The sequence below is a fragment of the Homo sapiens genome, chromosome 5 (assembly GCF_000001405.40).
Source record: "Homo sapiens chromosome 5, GRCh38.p14 Primary Assembly".
NCBI classification, from domain to species: domain Eukaryota; kingdom Metazoa; phylum Chordata; class Mammalia; order Primates; family Hominidae; genus Homo; species Homo sapiens.
This window is the reverse complement of record NC_000005.10, coordinates 116,897,236-116,921,263: the sequence shown is the minus strand read 5'-3', so window position 1 is coordinate 116,921,263 and position 24,028 is coordinate 116,897,236. Positions and strand designations below refer to the sequence as shown.

General features: G+C 38.6%; 3 long non-coding RNA genes across 3 annotated transcripts; 1 reads left to right on the top strand and 2 right to left on the bottom strand.

The window, feature by feature from the left end:
- Positions 1-1,315: 1,315 nt before the first annotated feature.
- Positions 1,316-4,024, bottom strand: LOC105379134 (uncharacterized). The gene is made up of 3 exons (XR_948690.1): positions 3,939-4,024; positions 1,980-2,076; positions 1,316-1,465 (listed from the first exon to the last, which is right to left on the bottom strand). It is a non-coding gene; the product is annotated as an uncharacterized LOC105379134 (long non-coding RNA).
- LOC105379135 (uncharacterized) lies at positions 3,355-21,551 on the top strand. Its single transcript, XR_948691.1, has 4 exons — positions 3,355-3,449; positions 11,879-11,914; positions 18,592-18,745; positions 21,420-21,551. It is a non-coding gene; the product is annotated as an uncharacterized LOC105379135 (long non-coding RNA).
- Positions 7,670-22,061, bottom strand: LOC105379136 (uncharacterized). The gene is made up of 3 exons (XR_948692.2): positions 21,867-22,061; positions 8,959-8,998; positions 7,670-7,725 (listed from the first exon to the last, which is right to left on the bottom strand). It is a non-coding gene; the product is annotated as an uncharacterized LOC105379136 (long non-coding RNA).
- Between the last annotated feature and the right edge of the window lie 1,967 nt (positions 22,062-24,028).

Below are 24,028 nucleotides of genomic sequence, written 5' to 3'. Positions count from 1 at the left end.
TTTTCTTCTAATGGAAGCAATATATTAGTCCCCTAAAACCTCAGTGTATATTAGTTTCATTGGATGATTTTTTTTTTCCCTGAATAGCAGTAAAAACAAAATCAATAGGCACGAGAGGAGCAGGCTTCAATGCAACCATCATCTGTTGCTAGCACCCTGCTCTTTAAAATCCTTGTCCAGGCCAGGCGCAGTGGCTCACACCTATAATCCCAGCACTTTGGGAGGCTAAAGCGGGCAGATCAACTGAAGTCAGGAGTTCAAGACCAGCCTTGCCAACATGGGTGAAGCCCCATCTCTACTATAAAATACAAAAAAAAAAAAAAAATTAGCCAAGTGTGGTGGTTCATGCCTGTAGTCCCAGCTGAGTGTACTCAGGAGGCTGGGACATGAGAATCACTTGAACCTGGGAGGCGCAGGCTGCAGTGAGCTGAGATCATGCCACTACTCCAGCCTGGGCCACAGAGTAAGACTCAGTCTCAAAAAAAAAAAAAAAGAAAGAAAGAAAGAAAAACCATCCCTGCCCAAACAACCGGAAAAATACAAAAGAACCAAATCCATTAACTTTGATCTATAGTATCCCCAGCCTACAATACAGCCTAAGAATAATTGTGTCTGAGGGAAACATGAACCAACAAGAATAACTAAAAGTACAGGAATGGGACGGCTGGATGATACATCTTGCCTCTTTCCCATTTTGGCCTAGCATCAAATGTACATGATTAAACTCATCAAGATATAAAACATAACCAATAATATTTCTCAGGTATGATGAATACAAGCAATGAAGAAAAATTATGTCATCCTCCTCATGGAGAAAAAACACTTCTTAACAGAAGACTGAAAATGTGACTTTTTAGTTTAACATTTTATTTTGCATTATCTTCACCAAAATATTCTAAGTTTTTTTAGTGTTTTTATGTAAACCCACTAAGTATATTCAAACACCTGTCCATACACCTCAGGATGAAAACAATCAAAACTCTTCTCACCTTTTCATCTTTGTCAAGGGTGACCACACTGCAGTAAGACTGGAGTGGGTTTTGCTGATGGAGAAAGTCTCCTTATTTTTACCATGACACCATTTCTAATAGGAATATAGTAATTAAAAAAAACACATTTCTCTCAGACCTTATTATTTTTAAAGTATGTTCTCTCATTCGCCTAATCACGTTTGACATGAGAAGGCATTTTTCAACATTCTGTCTTGTTGGAATGCCTGGGCTTATGACTTTAGGAGGCCATGGTTCATTGTCTGGGATCACAGTTTGTAATCCCAGTGGAGAAGTTTGAACCAGTCTACTTGCCTTACCTCATCATGCAGAGGACCAGAAAGGGAACTATGTAGCTGAGGGATGCAGACGGAGAGTGGCTGGGATTTGGAGTTGCAGGTGAGGAGACATCAGGGAGGCACCATGAGACATGGCAGGAAGTCCAATTGCGCAGACAGGTCCCTAGAACGAATGGTCTAGAGAGCCAACATTAGGGAGATTCCATCAAACACTGGCTATCTAGGAGTCCAGATGCAGGTTGTCACTTAACACTGAATTTGACAAATTTTAATCACTCACATGCCTTCTTTAGAGTTTTGACCAGAACTATGTAACTGCTGTCCCAGATAATGTTCTGTGATCTCTTGGCCCAAGATGACATAGCCACATAGTCAAAGGCAGCAATGCTGAGATCCCTGAGTAAACACTTAAAGGACAGCCAGCTGCCTCAGAGGACCATCTAACCCATTCCCAACTGTGAGCTGAGCAAAATATTATTTTTTATTTGTAGGATTGACTATGTGTTTCTCTTACAGTAGTTAGCATACAAGGATACTTATCCACATACAAGTATACTTCCATAGAAAGGGAAAGAGCACTATGCTCCTTACAAAAGCCTTATCGTAGGAACGACTGAAGAACACACAGACAAGATAAAGGTGGCAGTGGCATCTGCTGATCTGTGAACCATCTACTCCTTGTGTGACTTACAGACAACCACCGGCACCCCCCAGATCAGCTTCCTCTTCTGTTGCTGATGAATATTCAAGCGAGTGATGAGTGACAAAGTAGCTCCTCTTTAGACCCTCTAAAAAAAAAAGGACAGACCCCTGATTTAGGGACTTCATAGAAACCAATATGACTAAAAGAAGGATAAATCTTAGCAAACCTATTTGGTCTCCTTATATGACAGCATGACAGCCTCCATAAACCATATGTGTAGTCTGGTTTTACATCTCATATTGGCCTGAAGCTTGTACTCAGAGAGGAAATATTAAGGCAAGGAGACCTGCATTGTTCTCCCACATATGCATGAACCACATCGTGGTTCTCCACTGATAGCAATTTTGCCTCACCAGGGAAGATTTGACTTTATTAAGTAAATAATAGTACAGGGGTATGTACACATAGCAAAAAGTTTAGTACGGGGTATGCACATATAGCAAAAAGTACAGGGGTATGTACATACAGGGGTGCCTACATTTAGTATGGGGTATGTACATTTAGTACAGGGGTATGCACACATGGCAAAAAGTACAGGGGTATGTACATACAGGGGTGCCTACATTTAGTATGGGGTATGTACATTTAGTACAGGGGTATGCACACTGGCAAAAAGTACAGGGGTATGTACATATAGCAAAAAGTTTTGAAGGTGTTGTGTATGAATAACTGGAATATGGAAACATTGTTGTCTCTATCTTCAAAAGAGAGATCAAGAATTTCTCATCAAATTTGCAGATAATTAATTTGTATAGATAGAACTCTGGAACAACAGAAACTTTTTTTTTTTAAACAGGGTCTCTCTCTGTCACCCAGGCTGGAGTGCAGTAGTACTATCTTGGCCCACTGCAACCTGCACCTGCCAGGCTCAAGTGATCCTCCCATCTCAGCCTCCCAAGTAGCTGGGACTACAGGCATGGGCTGCCATGCCTGGCTAATTTTTGTATGTATGTATGTATTTATTTATTTATTTATTTATTTTGTAAAGATGGGGTTTTGCCATGTCTCACCATGACCAGTAGGCTGGTCTCAAACTCCTGGGCTCAAGCGATCCACCTGCCTCAGCCTCCCAAAGTCCTAGGGTTACAAGAATGAGCCATCATGTCTGGCCAGAAAATATTTCAAATGGCAATAACAATTGATACATTTTAGTAAGGGTACATGTAAAGTAATACCTAAGAACAAACACCCTCAATGCAAATAGAGGAGAAATAAAGGCTGAGGAAGTACAGGTCATGGTGGAGTCATGGTGGAGTCATGGTGGAGTTACATACCAGCAAGAGTGAGAGAGAGTGGGTGGAAAAAAGCCCCTTTACGTGAATAGCCAGGAAGCTAATTGTAGACCCTTTCCCTTCAGCCTTGTAAGAAGAAATGTTAATGCCCATGGCATGGGTTCAAGGCCTCGACACAGGGACTTTGGGTCACTGAAGATCATTGAGAAAGAAGAACTGACAATCCGTAAGTGGCTCTGAGCACAATTTTTTTTTTTTTAACCTTTTTTTCAAGGCAGGCCAGGGGAAGAGAGAAGGCAGCTAGTGACATATAGTTGAGGACATCATTCAGGACACTGGTAGAGGCAGCATGTTGATGAAGAGGATTAAAGACGGTGGAAAGTGTCCACAAAGAAGTCTCAACAGTTGTCACCATTTCACCAAGTGTGCTGAACCAGCAATGTGACTAAGGTTCACAGGATGGGACATGAGTACCTACCAGGAGTGCTAACACTCTCATCCTAAGAGTAATGCTGGTGGCTGAGCAAAGACACAAATCCAAAAATTACCTTAGTGGCCAGGTGTGGTGGCTCAAGCTTGTAACCCCAGCACTTTGGGAAGCCGAGGCAGGAGGATTGCTTGAGCCCAGGAGTTTGAGAGCAACCTAGGCAACATAGCAAGACTCCAACTCTACAAAAAATAAAAATAAAAATTACCCAGGCATGGTGGTACTTACCTATGGTCTCAATTACTCAGAAGGCCTAGGTGGGAGGATCGCTTGAGCCTGGGAGTTCAAGGCTACAGTGAGCTGTGATCGCACCACTGCACCTCAGCCTGGGCAACAGATTGAGACTCTATCTAAAACAAAACAAAACAAAAATTACCCCAGGGATAGGATTTGATGGACATGGTAATGGCGGTGGTGGAGAGAGGGACATGACTAAGAGTACAGCACTTTCCTTGATTGAGTACACAAAGAGGTAAGACTGCAAAATGACTGTATTGCTCACTCATGAGGAGCCTAATGGTCCCATTCACATTAAACTGTTGACAGTTACCAAGTTATTGAGATACAGTCATCCTCACAATTTTAGATATTTGAAGAAGGAAAAAGTAGGCCTTCCTTTAGAACACCACCACAATATTTTCCCCATATAATTTGTGTACTTCATTATGAAGTATTAATGGAATTTTTCAGTCAATTAAATGCTGTATGCCAACGCCATCAAAAGGTAATTAGTGGTAAATTAAAAGTGGCCATAAAATGGAAATTGGTGGGAGAATACTCTATTTCCAACTAACTAGTAATAGCTACCATTTGTTGAGTTCTTACTATGGACCAGGCAGTGTGCCACCAATTTAGAATCACCATCTTATAGCATTCAGTCCTCGCAGGAGCCACATTAAGGTATATAGTAGGTTTCTGCAGCTTATACATGAAGGAGTTGAGGCACAGAGAAATCTGAGCAACCTGTCCCAAATCAGTTAGCTAATAAGCAACAGAGCAGGTCTAGTCCAGTTTCCACTGACTCGAAAGACAGGCACTAAACCACTGCACACCACTGCCTCCTCATACTCCTGTGACAATGGTATTAGGCAAGGGGAGAGGTTGCTGCTTTTGCCTTTCTCCTCAGGACTCCATTGTCTTGGATGAGCTGTAGAGTGTTCCTAGAAAAGGCATATGCTGATAGGAAAAAAGTCCTGCCTTCAACAGACGAACCTTCTATTAACTTCCACAGCAGTAGAGCATGGAAGTTTTAAGTAGGGTCTACCAGGTCTATAACCTTGAGAAAAGTAACTTTCAGGACCTCTACTTCTGTATCTCTAAAACAGGAGGATGAGAAAAGTACTTACCTCACAGGTTGCTAGGATCATTAAAAGATTCAATGCATATAATAGCTTACCACAGTATGTGGCACACAGGAATCACTCAATATGTTTAGTCATTATTATTTTCATTATCATCACACCATGCTTATTGCTACTCAAGGATTTAGATTTGATTTCGCTGACTTGGAATTCCTGCAACTCCAATCTGAAGTTGATGACTCTTTTGAAGTTATTCTTCACTCAATACCATTCCCTTCTTTTTTAGTTAGAAGAAAGTTGAATACATGATTCTGGGCCCTTGTGTCTCAGAACACCCCTTCTCAAATATATCCTTATTCTTTTTTTTTTTTTTTTTTTACCATTTTTTGGGACTTTTCCTTGCCTCCATACTCAGGTCATGCTCCCTAAATCGTCTATACATTGCAATGGGCATTAAGAGCACCATGTATTATAATCCTCTTAACCCCATTACAAATGTTAAGTTAACTTCCACCATACTCATCTCACCTTCAGCACCCCACACCCACTTCCTGCCCCGCCTGCCATCACTCTCTATTGCATTTGCTTCCTTGTGTAAGTCAAGTTCACCCACTAAACTGGGGCACGACTGTATGTTACTCATCTTTGCTCTTGCCCCATTACTCTGTCTCCTCACCCCCAAAAGTTACTTAGTAGGCAACATTTAATAAAAGATTTTTTAAAAATCAGTATGTGGCCTGTATCGGAATCTCCAGCACCAGATTTGTTTGAAGGACTCACAGGACTCAGCATAGAGACATCAGCAAAAGGATACAAAGCAAAATCATCAAAGGAAAAAGATACAAAGAGAAATTAGATACAGGCTTCCAAGAGTCCTCTCCCAGTAGAGTCAAATAAGATGCCCTTAATTCTACTCTAGCAAGTAATTGTGCCAACAATATGAGTTAAGTGTTGCTTATCAGGGAAGCGCAATAGAGACTAAGCACCCCATGACTGGGGACTGGTCATGTAAGCATCCTCTGCCTAGCATATACTAAAATTCCAGACCCTTAGAAAAACAGTAAGTATTCAGCATGAACCGTATGTTTGCACAAACCAGGTAAGCCAGCTTTATCATTTAATGAAAGTTTTATATCAATGCTGGAGACTGTTTACCAGTCAGGCTCCCAGATGCCAGTCAAATGCCAATCTTACTGACAGGCCTTTCTATGAATAGCAATCTCAGGCCTGGCTATATTAACCCCTTTCTTCACAGGTACTGGGAAACATGAAATCTAGAATGTTAGATCTTCCAGCTTCTTGGAGTTGTCCTTTTTGGCAGTTGTCTATAACAATGTGAGGAATTCATAAGTAACTTAATACTAATAATCATTAAAGTACAAAAATTTGCTTATATAAATTGGTGAGAACTCAAGGCCATTCCTAAAATAATGGTAGTTTGCTTAATTTCCATTAAGATTTCTTTTATGGGAAAGAAAAGGGTTTAGGCACAATCAGTGCTCTGAGATTTGCACATGGAAGGTTCATCACACTTCTAATTTGCTGCAGAAAAGAAATTGAGAAAGTTTGATCTAATCAAGCTTCGCAATTAAAATATTTGGAAATTGAGGCCCAAGAAATGCATTCCTCATTCTTAAGAGGCAGCCAGCTCCTAAAGGGTAAGCAGGTAGCCTCAAGGATGCTGTCTGTGGGCCTTGAGGTAGCCTCTGGTCTCTGTGTCTTCCCTTACTTGTATTCCAGAGAATAGCTCATCTGCTTGTCTTCTTCTTTCAGTCGTTTGACAATGGCTTTCAAGAATCTTTTCAAGTGACATGATAAGATGCCACTGCATGCAGTGACATGAGTGGAAGGAAACTGTGACTTCACTTCTACCATCCATGTGAAGCCCATACCGTTCAAATGAAGATGTCTCTAATGACATCATCTCTTCTCCATATCTGTGTCACATAGCAACTACCTTTCATTTAAATATTCTTTGTAATAAGTTTACCACTGTGAAATCCAATATATCTAAGTATTTTCTCAACCCTTTAGTAGCCCAGAGGCCTTTTTAGAATCCTGTATCCTACCTTTCAAAGAAGCAACACATTTTTCTCAGAAGTCACCTGGAACCTGTGATTCCTTGATTTATTCTCTTCCACCAAACAAAATCATGCACAGCATCTGATTTCTTTATGCCTCACAACTCTGACTCCTAGGTTCCCAGGTATGATAAGATCATATTGTAGAGAGTTGTGTTTGTTATACTGTGAGACTGATGCATTAATGTTTTGATGGAAAGGACTTCCCTGATGTTTAGGTCAACACACAACACAGAAGGCCAAGGAAAATGGCACCTTTCCCCACAAATTAGAAGGAAAAAAATGGTTAACTCAAGTCTTCAATGAATGAGAAAGGAGATGTAAAGCCTAGAGAAAGGATGGTAAGAAGGAAAACAAGTGGAGATAGAAAAAGAGAAAACAGACTCACCTGGAATTTAGCCAAGGGGATCTTGGATGGCAAGACAAGCTGAATGGTCAGGGACCAATTATAAGAACCTCACCAACTGCTGTCCTTAGTAAAACTGCTGTCACTCTTTCGTGGTCCCACAGCACTTTGTCTCTACAACTATCTCCACGTACTCACTACAAAAACAATGTATTACAAACCTGTCTCCCTAGGACACTCACATGAAGCAGAGGCTTCATCCATGTGACTTTGGGTTACCACAGACCCTACAAAGAAGAAAGAATACACAAGTCTCCCAGTAAACTCCTCTTAAAATGACTGATGGAATAAATAAACAAATATGTAAACAAATGAAAGAATATGAATAAATGGAGAAAGTGAATGCTGCTTAAAAAAACAAATGGTGGCCGGGCGTGGTGTCTCATGCCTGTAATCCCAGCACTTTGGGAGGCTGAGGCAGGAGGATTACCTGAGGTCAGGAGCTTGAGACCAGCCTGACCAACATGGAGAAACCCCATCTCTACTAAAAATACAAAAAATTAGCTGGGCATGGTGGCGCATGCCTGTAATCCCAGCTACTTGGGAGGCCAAGGCAGGAGAATCGCTTGAACCAGGGAGGCGGAGGTTGTAGTGAGCCGAGATAGCGCCACTGCACTCCAGCCTGGGCAACAAGAGCGAAACTCCATCTCAAAAACAAAAACAAAAACAAAAACAAAAACAAAAAAGAGGCCTGAATGAAGTCGTCAGTGTAACCCAATTCTCTATTCTGAAGGACACAGTAACTGCAAAAACTGTTGTCAGAACCATTGCTAACGAACTGTAGCTTTCTCTGACCTTTACTAAATCCCTTCTTTGCTTCAGTCTCCAGTGTTCCTTTCATTTAGTTCTATTAGAAATGTTTCCACTTGGGTCTTTTTGAACTTTCATTCTGAATCTATGCAGTACTGTTTGTGTGTGTGTGTGTGTGTGTGTGTGCAAGAATACATGTGTGTAGGCGTGAATGTATGCACATGTGTTTTAAAGTCTTATTTCATTTCTGGATTACTAGTGCTAGTCATGCTAATCATAAAAACACAGTTATTTTTAAGCTCAAACCCCAAAAGAAAGCATGTCCTGAAGTTAAAAATGCATTCCAACCACCATCCACAGGTCCGCCCTAAACAACCGCGCATCTTCGTACAGATGGCTTTAACTCATGAGACAAACTTCCACTTTCTGCCCCTTCTCTGACTGAAAGTATATTTAATATTATTTCTCTCTGAGATTCAATTACAAATGAATTATTTTTAATTTCAACTACTGACAAAATAAGTAAAGCAGCTGGGCTTGCAATAAATCACCCTGTAAATGTGTAGAAACTGTTTAGAACAAACAAGTAGACAAGCACAGCTGCCATCATCATTGGGACATTCCATTCTACACCAACAAGGCTGATCTGAGCCATCACCTCATAATGAACAGCACTTCTCAGTTCACTGGACCCTGAAAAATATACTTACACAGGCAAAAACGATCCCAAATGAGAAGGGAACTGCTGTCCTGGAAAAGAAAAAAAAATTAGGCAAATGTTTGAAGTTTCTGTGCCTTACTTTGCCCATACTGCCATCTTTACTTAAAATAACAGACATAAGAAAATACAAACTTCTTTGGTTTTTACCAGTCTTTAGCATGGTGGTGGCAAAAAATCTGAGAAAACAGAATGACCTAAGACGGGTTCACTGGAGATTTTTTCTACAACCAGCACCACAAGGATGTTCTCAGCTTTAGGCAGATCTGATCTTGCTCTACACTCTTCTCCCGTCAGTGAAGTTCACCATAGTGGATCATTGTCACCACTTTATGGTGGATGGCTCCATCTAAGTCATACAAAAACTTCTACTGGACACTGATGGGAGACAAAGCCCACACGCAAAGGGAGACAATGGAGAGATGTGACTGCCGAGTCACATTTGTCTTCTATCTCAATCAACTTCAATGCTACTGTCAAATTGGTATTTTCTAACTTGTATTTCTATTGGTATGGTTAAGGTAATTTTTATTCCTTTAGCCAAAAGAGGATAAAGTAACTAGTTTAAACATATAGGATGGTTGGGCTTCAGGACAAGCTACCCCAAAATATGGCCCCTTGGCATTTGAGAAAGTAGCAGAAGCTAGAAGGTCACTCTCAGCTTCCCCTTACCCCATCTCTCCTAAAACAGGCCGTGAAACCCAGTAATAGTTACTGTCCAAAAGCCAAGTTCTCCAACACTGTTAACTGTATTTCCTACCCAGAAAACCTTGTTTGTTGTAATCTAACCTAGAATCACTGCTCTTATGGTTCCCTATTTCTTGGGCTGATCTGATTTATTTTTCCCTATTGCACTTTCCAGTCCTAATCACTCCATTCAATCCTGCTATCCACAGTAGCTACAGAAAAACTCTCATATGACTTCTATTTCTATTTCAGCTTGCATGAGTTCCTTTAAATATGTAAATTTCTTAAGAGCTGTGTTCAACTTCCTGCATGTTCAGTAATGAGGGAGGTCTGACATTTAGAGTCAGCAGACATCATCTTGACAGCCTAAGGAAATTAAGACATCAAACAATACAGTCACAATTTTAACTGCATCAAGGAAATGCAAAGGATATATGTAACTGAATAACACATGCATTTGTGGTCTGCTTTTAAGTGTATAAAGATAGGACATCTGAATCCTAGCAGAGAGATGTTGGTGATCTAGATGTGTGCGCTCTATTTTTATCCTAGAAAAAGTCTCTGAGCCTCAATTTCCCTTATGGTACATAGCTTGAGGACAAGAAGTCTGGATACCAAACATTCAGTATTCCTTCCATGTATTGCTTATACATTAAAAAAAATAAATAGGAGTTATCCAGGATTTCTACAGTGCAGTCTCAAAACCTGCTGATGATTAGTGGAAAGTTACAGCAAGACCAAAAAACTATCACTTGCCATTCTTTATTCTGGGCATCTTGACTTGTATGCAGGGAGAAGGCCTTGAAGCCTTTAAAGTCATAATAAGCAAGAGTACAGATCCCACATGTGTTACATTTTATTTAATTACAGCATTTCCAAAGATCATGCAGGAAATTGAACACACTATTGGAGACATGCTTTATTTTTTAATGTTTAGAACAAGCCTGTAGGAAATCTCAAAATTATATAATATCTGACATATAATATAATAATATAATACAACGACATTTCATTTTGTAGAAGTTCATGCTTAGAAATAGGGATTGCAGGACTTATCAGGCCTTTAAAATAAACGTAGAACAAAAAGAAAATATATATACACACATACATTTACACACAAATGTATTCACACATGTGTAAATATATATTCATCCTATGCATAGGGTTCCACATGGACTTCAACATCAACTTATAAGTAACTTTCAGCAATGAACTAAACTTTCCACTTTCAAAAGCATGTTAAGAATCAGAAGAAGATGGAGAAGATTCTCTGACTTTTTTTTCAAGTGAAATGTTCTTAAAACACTAATAGATTTGATTTTGTGAGAGAAAAAAAGTCCAATAATTTTGGATGTTGACTTTAAAAATTATAGTAGTCTAAATCAATACTTAAGGGCTGAGTAAAATAGACAATGGTGAGCTTTCATAAAAACTATATGAAAGAAAAATTACATGGTGCTTACATCTGTGCCATGTACTATTTTCTTTCATTTTGTTCAAGTCATTTGAATTTAGGGGGAAATTCAATCTACATTTTGTAATTCATTTCCACACAAATCATGAGCACACACTGTGTTGAGTGTCTGATGTATTTTCAGAACTTTTTAATAAGTTTTTATGCTTCTTCCCTTAACCACAAGAAGTGGCACCTGGCCAAGAGGAGGAGAACTTAAATATCATATCTGTAACTACTGCTCACCTACTCAGGGGGTGAAAAGTTTGTGGGCTACTGGAGAAGGAAAGTTTGGAGGAATAATAATGAAGCTATGGGTACACTTTGAAGTTTGAGCTCATGGGACTAATGGTGTTGAAAATCTAAGAGCATAAATAAAAGTATTCCAGTAGGTTTCTGTATAGTAGTGTATACCAAGGTGACCAAAGTATATAAAAGGAAATAGTTTACCCATGAGAAGTGACTTATCTCAGCTTTGTGAATTATTTCTTCCACTTGAAATTAATGATGCCTTTGTTCTTGGTCAGTTTTCATTTCACTCTTTTAAGTGAGACTTTTATTCCTGGAAGAAACGTGCTCACCCACCCTCAGAAAAGGTCTACCCAAGTTAATTTATCAAGGCACCTTAAAAGTGAGAGAGCCCTCCCCTCCACAATACAGGAAGTTTAGCAAGAAAAAATGATGGTCTAGGATCCTCGCAGGAGCCTCACTGACCCACAGTAATCAAATAATCAGAACTAAACTAACCACTCTTCTCTTTTCTGCATTCCAGATTGCAAAGCGACCTATTTTTTTAGAAGTGGGGAAGGTAAGAAGCAACAATCTTTAATCTCTGATGTTTACACAGGTTGGACTGAATTATTGGCAATGAGTCTGTCCCTCAATTTTTGGCATTAAAATATCCTACATTAACCAGTTTCACTACAGCTGAGGGTGAGGGAGGAGGAGAGGAAAGAGGGCTTTATGATCGATGATAGAGAATAAGATAATAATGAAATAGAGGCACCAAAATAAGATCATACCAATTTTAATCATTGCAATTTGGTATTTAAATTAAATTTTCAAATAGAACCAATATACGATTGCCCCTTGATATCTGCAAAGGATATGTTCCAGGACTCCCATGGATACCAAAATCCACTATACTCAAATCCCTTATATAAAATGACATTCTACCTGCATATAACCTACACACATCCTCTTGTATATGTTAAATCATCTTTAGATTACTTATAATACCTAACATTGCTACAAATACTATGGAAATAGTTGTTATACTGTATTTTTTATTTCTATTACTTTTATTGTTTTATTGCCATTTTTTTTACACTAGTTTTGATCTGCGGTTGTTTGAATTTGCAGATGTGAAACCCACAAATGTGGAGGGACTACTGTATTCTGAAAATAGCCTAATTTGACTAATTGCAAGCAAAGCACTGCCCTAGATGTTGAAACTAGATCCAAAGGCCCCTTTAAATACTTTGGAAGTACAAGAAAGGACTTCTTTGACTTAGTCAGTAAGAAGGCAGAAAGAGGGAATGCAACCTGGAGGTTGGTGACTGTGCCATGAAGGAGAAACACAGGGGTGCACAGGCACTCCTCACTGGGTGGTATCATCCTGTCTAGGAAATTGGGAGGTTGGGGACTTTACTTCAAGCTCAATGGTAGAGAATGAGACAGAGCTGGGGTACAGGCATACCCCAAAGATATTGCAGATTTGGTTTCAGACCATCACAGTAAAGTGAGTTTAGCAATCAAACAAGTCACACCAATTTTTTTGGTTTCCCTGTGCATATAAAAATAATGTTAGCACTATCCTGCAATCTAGTGAATATGCAATAGCATTATGTCAAGAACACAGTGTACATACTTTAACTTAAAAATGCTTTATTGCTAAAAGATGCTAACAATCATTTGAGCCTGAAGTGAGTTGTAGTCTTTTTGCTGGTGGAGGGCCTTACCTCAACGGCGATGACTGCTGACTGATCACGGTGGTAGTTGCTAAAAGTTGGGGTGGCTGTGGCAATTCACTAAAATAGGGCAACAGTAAAGTTTGCCACATCAATGAATTCTTCCTTTCACAAACGATTTCTCTGTAGCATGTGATAGTGTTTGATAGCATTTGATAGCATTTTACCTACGGTAGAATTTCTTCCAAAATTGAAGTCGGTCCTCTCAAAACTTGCTGCTGCTTTATCAACTAAGTTTATTAAATGTTCTAAATCCTTTGTTGTCATTTCAACAATGTTCATAGCACCTTTACCAGGAGTAGAATCCATCTCAAGAACCACTGTCTGTGTATCCATAAGAAGCAACTCTCTTTTTTATGGCTACATTATTCCATGGTGTATATGTACCACATTTTCTTCATCCAGTCTATTATTGATGGACATTTAGGTTGATTCCATGTCTTTGCTATTGTGAATAGTGCTGCAATGAACATACATGTGTACACGTCTTTTAAGAGAACAACTTATACGAGACCATGGCCTTTGCAGGGACATGTGTGGAGCTGGAGGCCATTATCCTTGGCAAACTAACACAGGAACAGAAAACCGAATACCGCATGTTCTCACTTATAAGTGGGAGCTAAATGGTAAGAACACATGGGTGCAGAGAGGGAAAAACACAAACTGGGACCTATTAGAGGATGAAGGTTGAGAGGATGGAGAGGATCAGGAAGGATAACTAATGGGTATTAGGCTTAATACATGGGTGACGAAATAATCTGTACAACAAACCTTCACAACACAAGTTTACCTATGTAACAAACCTGCACATGTACCCTGAACATAAATTAGCAGTTAAAAAAAGAGGCAACCCTCATCCATTCAAGTTTTACCATGAGATTACAGCAATTCAGTCCCATCATTAGTCTCCACTTCTAATTTTAGTTCTCTTTCCATTTCCACCACATCTGCAAATACTTCTTCCACTAAAGTCTTGGACCTCTCAAACTCATTCATGAGGGTTGAAAGCAACTTCTTCCAAACTCTTGCTTCTGTTGATATCTTGACCTTCTCCTGTGAACCACCAATGTTCTTAATGGCATCTAGAATGCTAAATCCTTTCCAAAAGATTTTCAATTTACTTTGCCCAGATCCATCAGAGGAATTACTACCTATGGCAGCTATAGCATTATGAAATGTATTTTTAAATAATACAACTTGAAAGTAAAAATGACGCTTTGATCTATGGGCTGCAGAATAAATGTTATATTAGCAGGCATTAAAAACAACACCAATCTCCTTGTACATTTCTATCAGAGCTCTTGCTTGACTATGTACATTGTCAATAAGAAATCATATTTTGAAAGGAGTCTTTTTTCTGAGTAGTAGGCCACAACAGCTGGCTTAAGGTGGTCAGTAAAGCAGGCTGTAAACAGATGTTTACAGATGTTCAGACCTTGTTGCTCCATTTATAGAGCCCAGGCTGAGTTGATACAGCATAATTCTTAAGGGACCTAAGGTGTTCAGAATGGTAAATGAGCATTGGCTTCAACTTAAAGTCACCAGCTACATTAACTGCTAACAAGAGAGTCAGCCTGTCCTTTGAAGCTGGGCACTGACTTCTCGTCTCCAGCTATGAAAGTCCTAGATGGCACCTTCCTCTAACATAAGGCTGTTTTGTCTAAATTAAAAATCTTTTGTTTACTGTAGCCACCTTCACCAATTATCTAAGCTAGATCTTCCGGATAACCTCCGCAGCTTCCACATCAGCACACGCTACTTCACCTTGCACTTGTAAGTTATGGAGACAGCTTCTTTCCTTAAACCTCCTGAATCAGCTTCTGCTAACCTCAAACTTTTCTTCTGCAGCTTCCTCACCTCTCTCAGCCTCCACAGATTTGAAAAGAGTTAGGGCCTTGCTCTGGATTAGGTTTTGGTTTAAGGGAATGTTGTGGCTGGCTTGATCTTTATTCCAGACCAATAACACTTTCTCTGTATCAGCAATAAGGTTGTTTTGCTTTCATATCATTTGTGTGTTCACTGGAGTAGCACTTTTAATTTGCTTCAAGTACTTTCCTTTGTATTAGCAACTCATCTATCTGGCACGAGAGGCCTAGCTTGCAGCCTGTCTCAGCTTTTGACATGCCTTCCTCACTAAGCTTAGTAATTTCTTGCTTTTGATTTAAGGTGAGAGACTTGAAACTCTTCCTTTCACTCTAAGTGGAGGCCACTGAAGGGTTGTTAATGGGCCTAATTTCAAGATCTTTTTATCTCAGAGAACAGGGACGCCCAAGGAGAGGGAGAGAGGAAACGGCTGGTCAGTGGAAGAGTCAGAACACGTACAATGTTTATCAGTTCAGTTTTGCCATCTTATACGGGCATGGTTCAAGGGATGCCAAAATAATTACAATAGTAACATCAAAGATCACCGATCACTGATCACCATTACAAATATAATAATGAAAACGTTTGAAATATTGTGAGAATTGCCAACATGTGACACAGAAATACAAAGTGAGCACATGCTGTTGAAAAAATGGTGCCAATAGATTTGCTTAATGTAGGGTTGCCATAAACCTTCAAATTGTAAAAAAAAAAAACTCAATATCTGTAAAGTGCAATAAAGAAACGTGCAATAAAATGAGGCATGCCTGTAGTTGAGAGGGAGATTTTCAAACTGAGAGATTAAGATATGCTAGCAGTTCTCAAACTCCTTGAACTCAGAACCCCTCATTTAAAAATCACTGAAGCTCTCCAATGGGCTTTTTTACATGAGTTATATCTCTTAATATTTGAAATTAAAACTAATTTTTAAAAATTTTATTCATATATTACAAGGAACAATAAATCTATTACATATTTTTATTTTTTATTTTTATTTTTTGAGAGGGAGTCTCACTCTTGTTGTCCAGGCTGGAGTGCGATGGTGCCATCTCAGCTCACTGCAACCTCCGCCTCCTGGGTTCAAGTGATTCTCCTGCCTCAGCCTCCCTAGTAGCTGGGATTACAGGTGCCTGCCACCACGCCAGGGTAATTTTTGTATTTTTGGTAGAGACGGGGTTTTACCATGTTGGCCAGGCTGATCTTGAACTCCTGACCTCAAGTGATCTGCTCGCCTCAGCCTCCCAAACTGCGGAGATTACAGGCGTGAGCCACCGCACCTGGCCCTATTACATATTATCAAAAAAAATTTTTGTGAAAATTGTATATTTCCAAATGAAAAAATGTAGTGAAAACTGCAGCATTTCTTTATTGATTTACACTTTGAAAATGTCTTCAGTCTGCCTGAATAGAAGATAGCTGTTTCTTACTGCATTCTTAAATTGGCTTCTGCATTCAGTCTGCGGCAATATGTTGCTTTGCTTGAAGTATATGAAGAAAATACAGTCTTATATAAAAATAAAGTTGGAAATAGAAGGAGTATATTAATAGCCTTTCCAAATAATTGTGTATATTATTTTTTGATGCTCCATTAAAATATGGCAAGTACAGTTTCTTAAAGATAAGATGCAATTTAGAAATTTGAAACTATAGAAACGAGTTTTTCATGCCCTGCCTGGTATATGAAAATCTATTGGTCTATGTTGTACTTTGAATGGATCTTTCATTCATGCTTGATAAATTCTCAAAGGCATACATTGGTCAATTAGAAAATATTAGATCCCTGACTCAGAGGTCTAACTGAAGGTGCTCCAAATGTTTACATATTATATTATACTATCAATAAAATTACATGTGTTAATATCACCACCAATTTCATAAGAAAGTCTCTACGTATTTGGAAATTATCAAGCTCCTAGTGACAGATTTAAGGTTTTTAAAATTCTAATTTTGCTCAAAAACTTGAATTTTATCATTGACAACAAATATTGTCAGCTGTTTTCCTTGAAATGATAGGCTTATGTCATTCATGTTAAATAAAATTTCTGCGAAATACCTAAATTTAAATAGCCATAATATGTCTGTCAGTCATGCTTTCAAATAAAAATGGCGTTGAGTGTAAAAAGTGGCTAATTCAACTCACAATTCAAAGAATGACACGTTTTTCCCCAGGGCATCCATTGTATGCCATTTGCAAGTGAAGTGTTTATGTTTATATGTACTTCCCATTTTCTCACACAGAATATTAAAGTGATATTATTCAAGTGTCTAGATTTAATAGAATTAGCCATTTAGGCTGCTGGAGTAAGACATCCTTAAGTGAAACTAGCAATTTCTTATACTGTGAGTACATGGCAGCAGATTCCAGCTAAGGTGCCAATAGTTTTGCCAACCATTGCTTTACCATTACTGCAAATGTCAACACAGTACCAAAGGCAAATAAGATCTTACTATTACTGTGAAAACAGTTTTGACCCCATCCAATTGTCCTGGGAACCTCCAGGTGTCTGGAAACCACACACTGAGAATCATTAGTTTGTGAGAAGGCTTTAGGATGAATAAGACAAGAGTGAAATGTGCGAGATGCCATATTACAGAATCCAACAGATCTCCCTGTGATCCCTTGAATTTTTAGTTAAATAATCTTCAGGCAATGATAATTTGATTGTTCCTTTCAAATTTGTATCTCTTTTTATTGGTACAGTGTTTAAACATATTAACAAGCATCCCATAAACATTTTAAGTCATAATACTGATCAGATGCTATTCTTATCAAGCTAATTACTATCGGAAAGTCCTTCAGTATTTCACCACTAAACCCTACATTACCTGTTAGCTTGAGATGCCTATTTTGGGGGTATATTCTTCTATTACCATTTTAATTACAAAATTTTTTGAGAATGAATGTTGAATTTTATTAAATGCATTTTTGGCATGTAAGAAATGGATCCGATGTTTGTTCTCATTTGAACTACAAATATAGTACAATAATAATAAATACTATATAACATTGAGCCATACTTGATCATGAACCTTAGATCATGGACATACTGTACTGACTGACCAGCATCCTCTTGTTTGAGAAGCGACCTCTCACCCATTCCATGTTTTTGGTGGAGTACTCAATCGTTGACTATACAGAAGGGCACAAAGACAACGCGCAGAAAACAATAAAGTGGGTTGACCCAGAGGTGGGCGTACAACACAATATCGGCCAGAGTTCCTTCCTAAGGGGGCTATAAAAGTGCCGGAAGAAAGACAGTCTCTTGCGACTGGCATTTCTGAGCCTCAAGAATATGAACTTCAGGCCAGGCACGGTGGCTCACACTTGTAATCCCAGCACTTTGGGAGGCCGAGGAGGGAGGATCACGAGGTTAGGAGATCGAGACCATCCTGGCTAACACGGTGAAACCCCGTCTATACTAAAAATAAAAAAAATTAGCTGGGCGTGGTGGCGGGCGCCTGTAGTTCCAGCATCTCAGGAGGCTGAGGCAGGAGAAATGGCGTGAACCACGGAGGCGGAGCTTGCAGTGAGCTGAGATCGCGCCACTGCATTCCAGCCTGGGCGACAGACCGAGACTCCATTTCCAAAAAAAAAAAAAAAAAAAAGAATATGAACCTCAAGTTGCTGACTGCCATTTCCCTTTCCCCACAGAGGAAGGTGTAGTCAACATATTGAGAGAAGAAAAGCTGAAAAAATAGAAGAGAATGACATTATTTAAGCCTGTGAATACTTTTACGTCTAAAGTCACATTAATGCCTGGTCCTACTGGGTCCATAAACCAATACGGACTCTTAAAGAGTCACAGGTGAGTTTTCACATGGCAATCACAAAATGTTAACACACCCTACTTGATCAGGGTTAACATTTTTTCTTAAGTTCTGTTGAAATTTTTCTACTTAGAGTTGCTTTATCAATGTTCACGTGTGAGAGTAATCTATTTTATGTGTGAGTGGGTGTGTGTTAATTTTGTCAAGGTTGGCTGGCTTTGTTTAAAAAAGAAAAAGAAAAAGAAGAAAGAGAAAAGAACAAAATAAAACCAGACAAAACAATACCAGAACAGCAGAAATAACAGGCATCACCTGTGGCTTAAGGAGTTAAAAAAATTCTGTGTGAAACTATGTGGGCTCAAATCTTTTATGGAGATTTTTCAATATTCTCATCTTTTTCATGAATATTCAGTTGGCCAGGTTTTTAAACTTTTCTCTAATTGATTTTGATAATTCATATTTTTCTAGGAAACAATTTCTTTCATTAAGGTCTTCATATAAACTAGCCTGCTCTTTGATACTTTTTTTTGATATCCTATCTGTGGGTATTTCATCTTTCTCATTCCTAATTATGTATTTGTGTTTTTTCTCTATTTTTCACAAATAGATGACCTAGTAACTTATTTGAATATTTGTATTTGTTATTGTTTTCTTATTATAAGAAATACTATGGGATGCATTTAATAATTTTGTAATTTTATTTTATTTTTTGAGATGGAGTTTGGCTTTTGTTGCCCAGGCTAGAGTGCAATAGTGAACTCTTGGCTCACCACAACCTCTGCCTCCCAGATTCAAGTGATTCTCCTGCCTCAGCCTCCCAAGTAGCTGGGATTACAGGCATGCACCACCACACCTGGCTAATTTTTGTATTGTATTTTTTAGTAGAGATGGGGTTTCTCCACGTTGGTCAGGGTGGTCTCGAACTCCCAACCTCAGGTGATCCACCTGCCTCAGCCTCCCAAAGTGCTGGGATTAGAGAAATGAGCCACCATGCCCAGCCAATTTTGTTATTTTCCTAATTCATTAATTCTTGCATTTATAGTTATATTTTTTCTTCCTGCTTTGCTAAGTGTAATTTGTTGTTCTTGTTCAGTTTCTATGAACTTCATGATTAATTCTTTCATCAGCATCTAACTCCCTCTTTTGGGAGTCATCTCTCCTAGAGTCTTGAGAGCTCCCCCACCCAAGACTTATTTCCACCAATATCCTACTAATTCTTTTCTGACTTTTTCTTTTAATACAGAACATCAGTTCCTTCAGCTGGAAAAGGAAGCACTTTCCTCATTACATTTCCCTTTGGTTAGGTGGAAAGAACATTTTCTAATGCTTTACAGAAAATCATTCAGCCAAGCACAAACTTCCACAAAAACTAAATGGATCAAATAGGCCACCTTGGTTACACACTCTGCACAATCAGGAAAATAGCTCTGAGAGATATACAAATAATTTTGTCAAGGCAGGAGCCAACATGGGTCTTGGGAGGAAAGAGGAAAAGTTAAGAGCCTTATTAAAATAGCTCACATCACTTCACTTTGGGCACTGGGTTTCATGCTATGCAGTTTATTGAATTAAACTTCCATTAATCTCCCTGTAGCACTGAAATTGCCAAAATGCCTCAACCGGTTAATGAAAAAAATTACACAAACATACCACAAAGAAAACCAAGGACCTGTGCAAGGGCAAATGGTTTTGATTTAATGTAAATCAGTTTGACCATTTTTGAGAGGCACTACTAGAAAGGCCAAAAGAAATGGCTTATGGTTTTAGCTACTAAAAGAGAATATTTATAATAGCTATGACTTTTCCACTGAAATCCTATAGGTGATAGGTCTCTAATATAAACTTATAGTGTCTGCAATTTCCAACAAAAAAGAAAAGTGTTCTAAGGTGTTATAATATTGTTCATGCCCTGACATAATTTTTATCTAAATCAGGAAAGGAGTTTTTAGTCGGTTGAGTTGGATTGCTAACTCATGGGGGGTTTGTAATGGTACATTCAGATGATTTCCAAGAAGACATTTTCAGGCTATTGTATTATTAATACAAGGATTAAAGTGTCCCCCAAAGACCTCTGACAAGACAGACCATAACTGCTCCAAAAGGGCTATTATACTCTAGTCTGTTGGTGATTCAGAGATTTTTCAAGTGCTTGGGCCCTAAGGATGAGCAGCCAAGAGAGAAGGACCATGACCGAATTGAGTTTCTTTTGTCATTGCACGGGTAGGAGCTGTTAATCTGTATTTGCTTTCTGTTTTGAATAAAGGAGAGGAAATTATTCTCCTCTGGAAAAATTTCCACCCATCCCCAAAACTCCCCTGTGATTATAGTTGAACAAAAAATGAATCCTCCCTTTTTTATACCAAAACTACTGTCTCCTGTTCTGGAGTATTGAACAGCTGTTGTCTGCTGCACCAGGGGAGAGGGCTACAATTCAGGGATTAATTGAAGTAATTTTCCTAGAAACATAGAGCAGAACTCGTGTGGGTAAGTCACTCTGCAAAGACCAGATGAACTTTGTAAAATCATATCCATCCTTCATTGAGCAATCATAGCATCTTAGAAAGCTTCCAGACAAGGGTGGTTCTTGGTAATATTTTCATAGTGCATTTCCAAAGTTCACTTGATTCGAAGTTACTCTTTCCATTTTAGATATAAGAAATCAGGACTCCCAAAGCTAAATAAATTGCTCAAAGTCACTTTTTTTTTTCTTAGTGGCAAGACAAATATGAGGACTGCAGACATCATGCTCTTTTTCAATGACATCTAAGTAGCAGAGTCACAGAGATGAAGAGCAATAAAGAAAACAAACCAGGGGTTGAAGCAGGAGGATCACTTGAGGCCAGGAGTTTGAGACCAGCCTGAGCAACAAACAAAGCAAGAACCCCATCTCTACAAAAAAAAAATTTTTTAAATAAGCCAGGCACAGCAGCAGGCACCTGCAGTCCCAGCTACTTGGGAGGCTGAGGTGGGAGGATTGCTTGAGTCCAGTAGTTCAAGGTTGCAGTGGGCTGTGATTATGCCACTGCATTCCAGCCTGGAAAACATAGCTAGACCCCATCTCTAAAAAAAATAAAATAAAATAAAATAAAAAGGAAAGCAAGAAAGCAAACTAACTGGTAGAGTATTTTCTAAATTCGCTTAAAGAAGTTAGACCATTACCTGGCTCTTTTTCATCTATTCTTCAAATACATTGAATCTTTCTCCCAGCCCCAGTTACTTCTTCTGTACAAACAGACAACACTGCAAAATATACTTTAATTATTTCCCTCTAGTATTAGTATCTTGTTTAAATCTGAGATAATGTGGAAAGTAATGACAGCTAGTGTTTATTATGCTAGGCATTGCTCTAAGTACTTCGTGTGTGTATAATCTATTTCAGTTTCCCTAGCAGCCCCATGTGATCAGGTACTATTATTATCCACATTTTAAAGGTTAGGAAACCAAAGCACAAAGGTTAAACATCTTATGAAGATCACAAGAATGGGAAGTGGTAAAGCTGAGATTTGAACTTATTAATAGATCAGATTGGGGCTCTTAAATTCCTCTATTCAACAGTGGTTCAGTACGTCTAATTTCTTTAGCTTTAGAGGTTATGGGACACATTTGTGAATAAAAGAAGGAAGAGAGAAAGGGAGAGATAAGAGGCAGTTAGTTAAAGAAGGAACAAGGTTAGGTAGAAACCAAAAAAATAGTATTGTTTAATCCAACTATTTATGAAGAACTATTGGGGAGTTTGAAAACTAATTTATAAGTCTAGTATTTTTTCTGTTACTTGAATGTAGTCTTTTTTTGTGTATCCTCTGTCTAGTCTTCAGATATTGAAATAAAGATTCAGAGTCTATAAAAAATACAATCAACTGGCCATTATCTAAAAGGTAGCAAAGGTCATAAAAATTAAACTTTTGTTTAGGAAGAACAAAAAAGATTTTCTTTTAATTTAGAGTTAATTTATACAAGTGATGACACAAAAAGTTAATCACCACTATCGACAAAAACTAGACAAACCTAGTAGTGGGGAAAAATTCTGGGCATATTTTGAAAGCTTGGCAGCTGAAAACATATCAAGATACATTCTTTGCATCAGAGGAGGCCACATTCTCATTTAATTTATTTGTATTTCTTTAGAAGCAGGAAATACACATCAATCTCATTTGGCCTATTTTAAAAGGAAAGAGTACTGCCAGAGCAAAGTGATAACCCAATGGTGTTGTCCAGCAGCAGGCAGGAATGGGAGTCCAAGCAACTAAGGAAATCAGCATAAATACTAAGAGTTAAGTAACAAGAGATCCTAGTCCAAAGCAGTTAACATGGTGGAGGAATCAGGCAGCTAGTAGGTCATAGAGGTATAACCTAGAAGGTAGTTCAATCCCAGACCCCCAGATGTCTCTGCATTCCCGATGACTTCCCTTCCCATGTCCATTCTGCCTTCAAATTTCTATTGCTACATAAGTCTGCATTCCACTCTTCTCTCAAGACGGGTGGCCTCTTCTGCCCCTCCTCTCTGCTCAGCTCCGAACCCAATCTATATGAGTGTCTTCATTGTTGCACACATGAATACACATATGCACACAGAGACACACACACACCAGTCACTAAAAGCTCTTTTCTATGTAGCACATATTACTGAAGTCTTGGGGAAACAGATGAATTGACTTCTAGCTATTAAAATAACTTAAAATCTAGAAGTTCTTCAGCCACCCTACTGTGTTGTTTAGTCATTCACTCTGCCCTTATTCCCAATACCCTCACTAAAATTCTCCCTGTCCTCCAAATTCCTGCTTATCTTTTATGAATAGCAGATTAGCAATCTTTTTTTTTATTTTGTTCAAATCTGTACTCTAAGAGACAGATTTAACATAACTATCAAGGAGTTTCCCAAACGAAGACAGTTCCCCACCTTGTGTTATACTCATCCTTATTACTATAACTATCAATATTATTTTAATTTTTACTTATCCAGCTCTAAAGTCAAGTTGTCTTCTGGTTTTTCTCCCACTTAATGAATCCTCTTTTACCAACCTCCAAATGTCAGAAAGACACGAGGGTTCAGTATTGTGACCTCATTAGCTCTCTATTAGAGTCTGCTCCTATGTAATCTCATCAAGTCACAAGACCTTAAAGAACAAATATGCTATTGACTTCCAAATTTTATATCTCCAGCTTTGCTCTTGTAGATGTCAAATAAAAATCTAAAACATCGACAAATCTAAAACAGCATGTTAATTATTCTCCCCAAACCTGTCTTTTTATTTCCAGTGTTGTCCATCTCAGTAAATGGAAGGCCAAGGTGGGAGGATCACTTGAGCCCAGGAGGTCAAAGC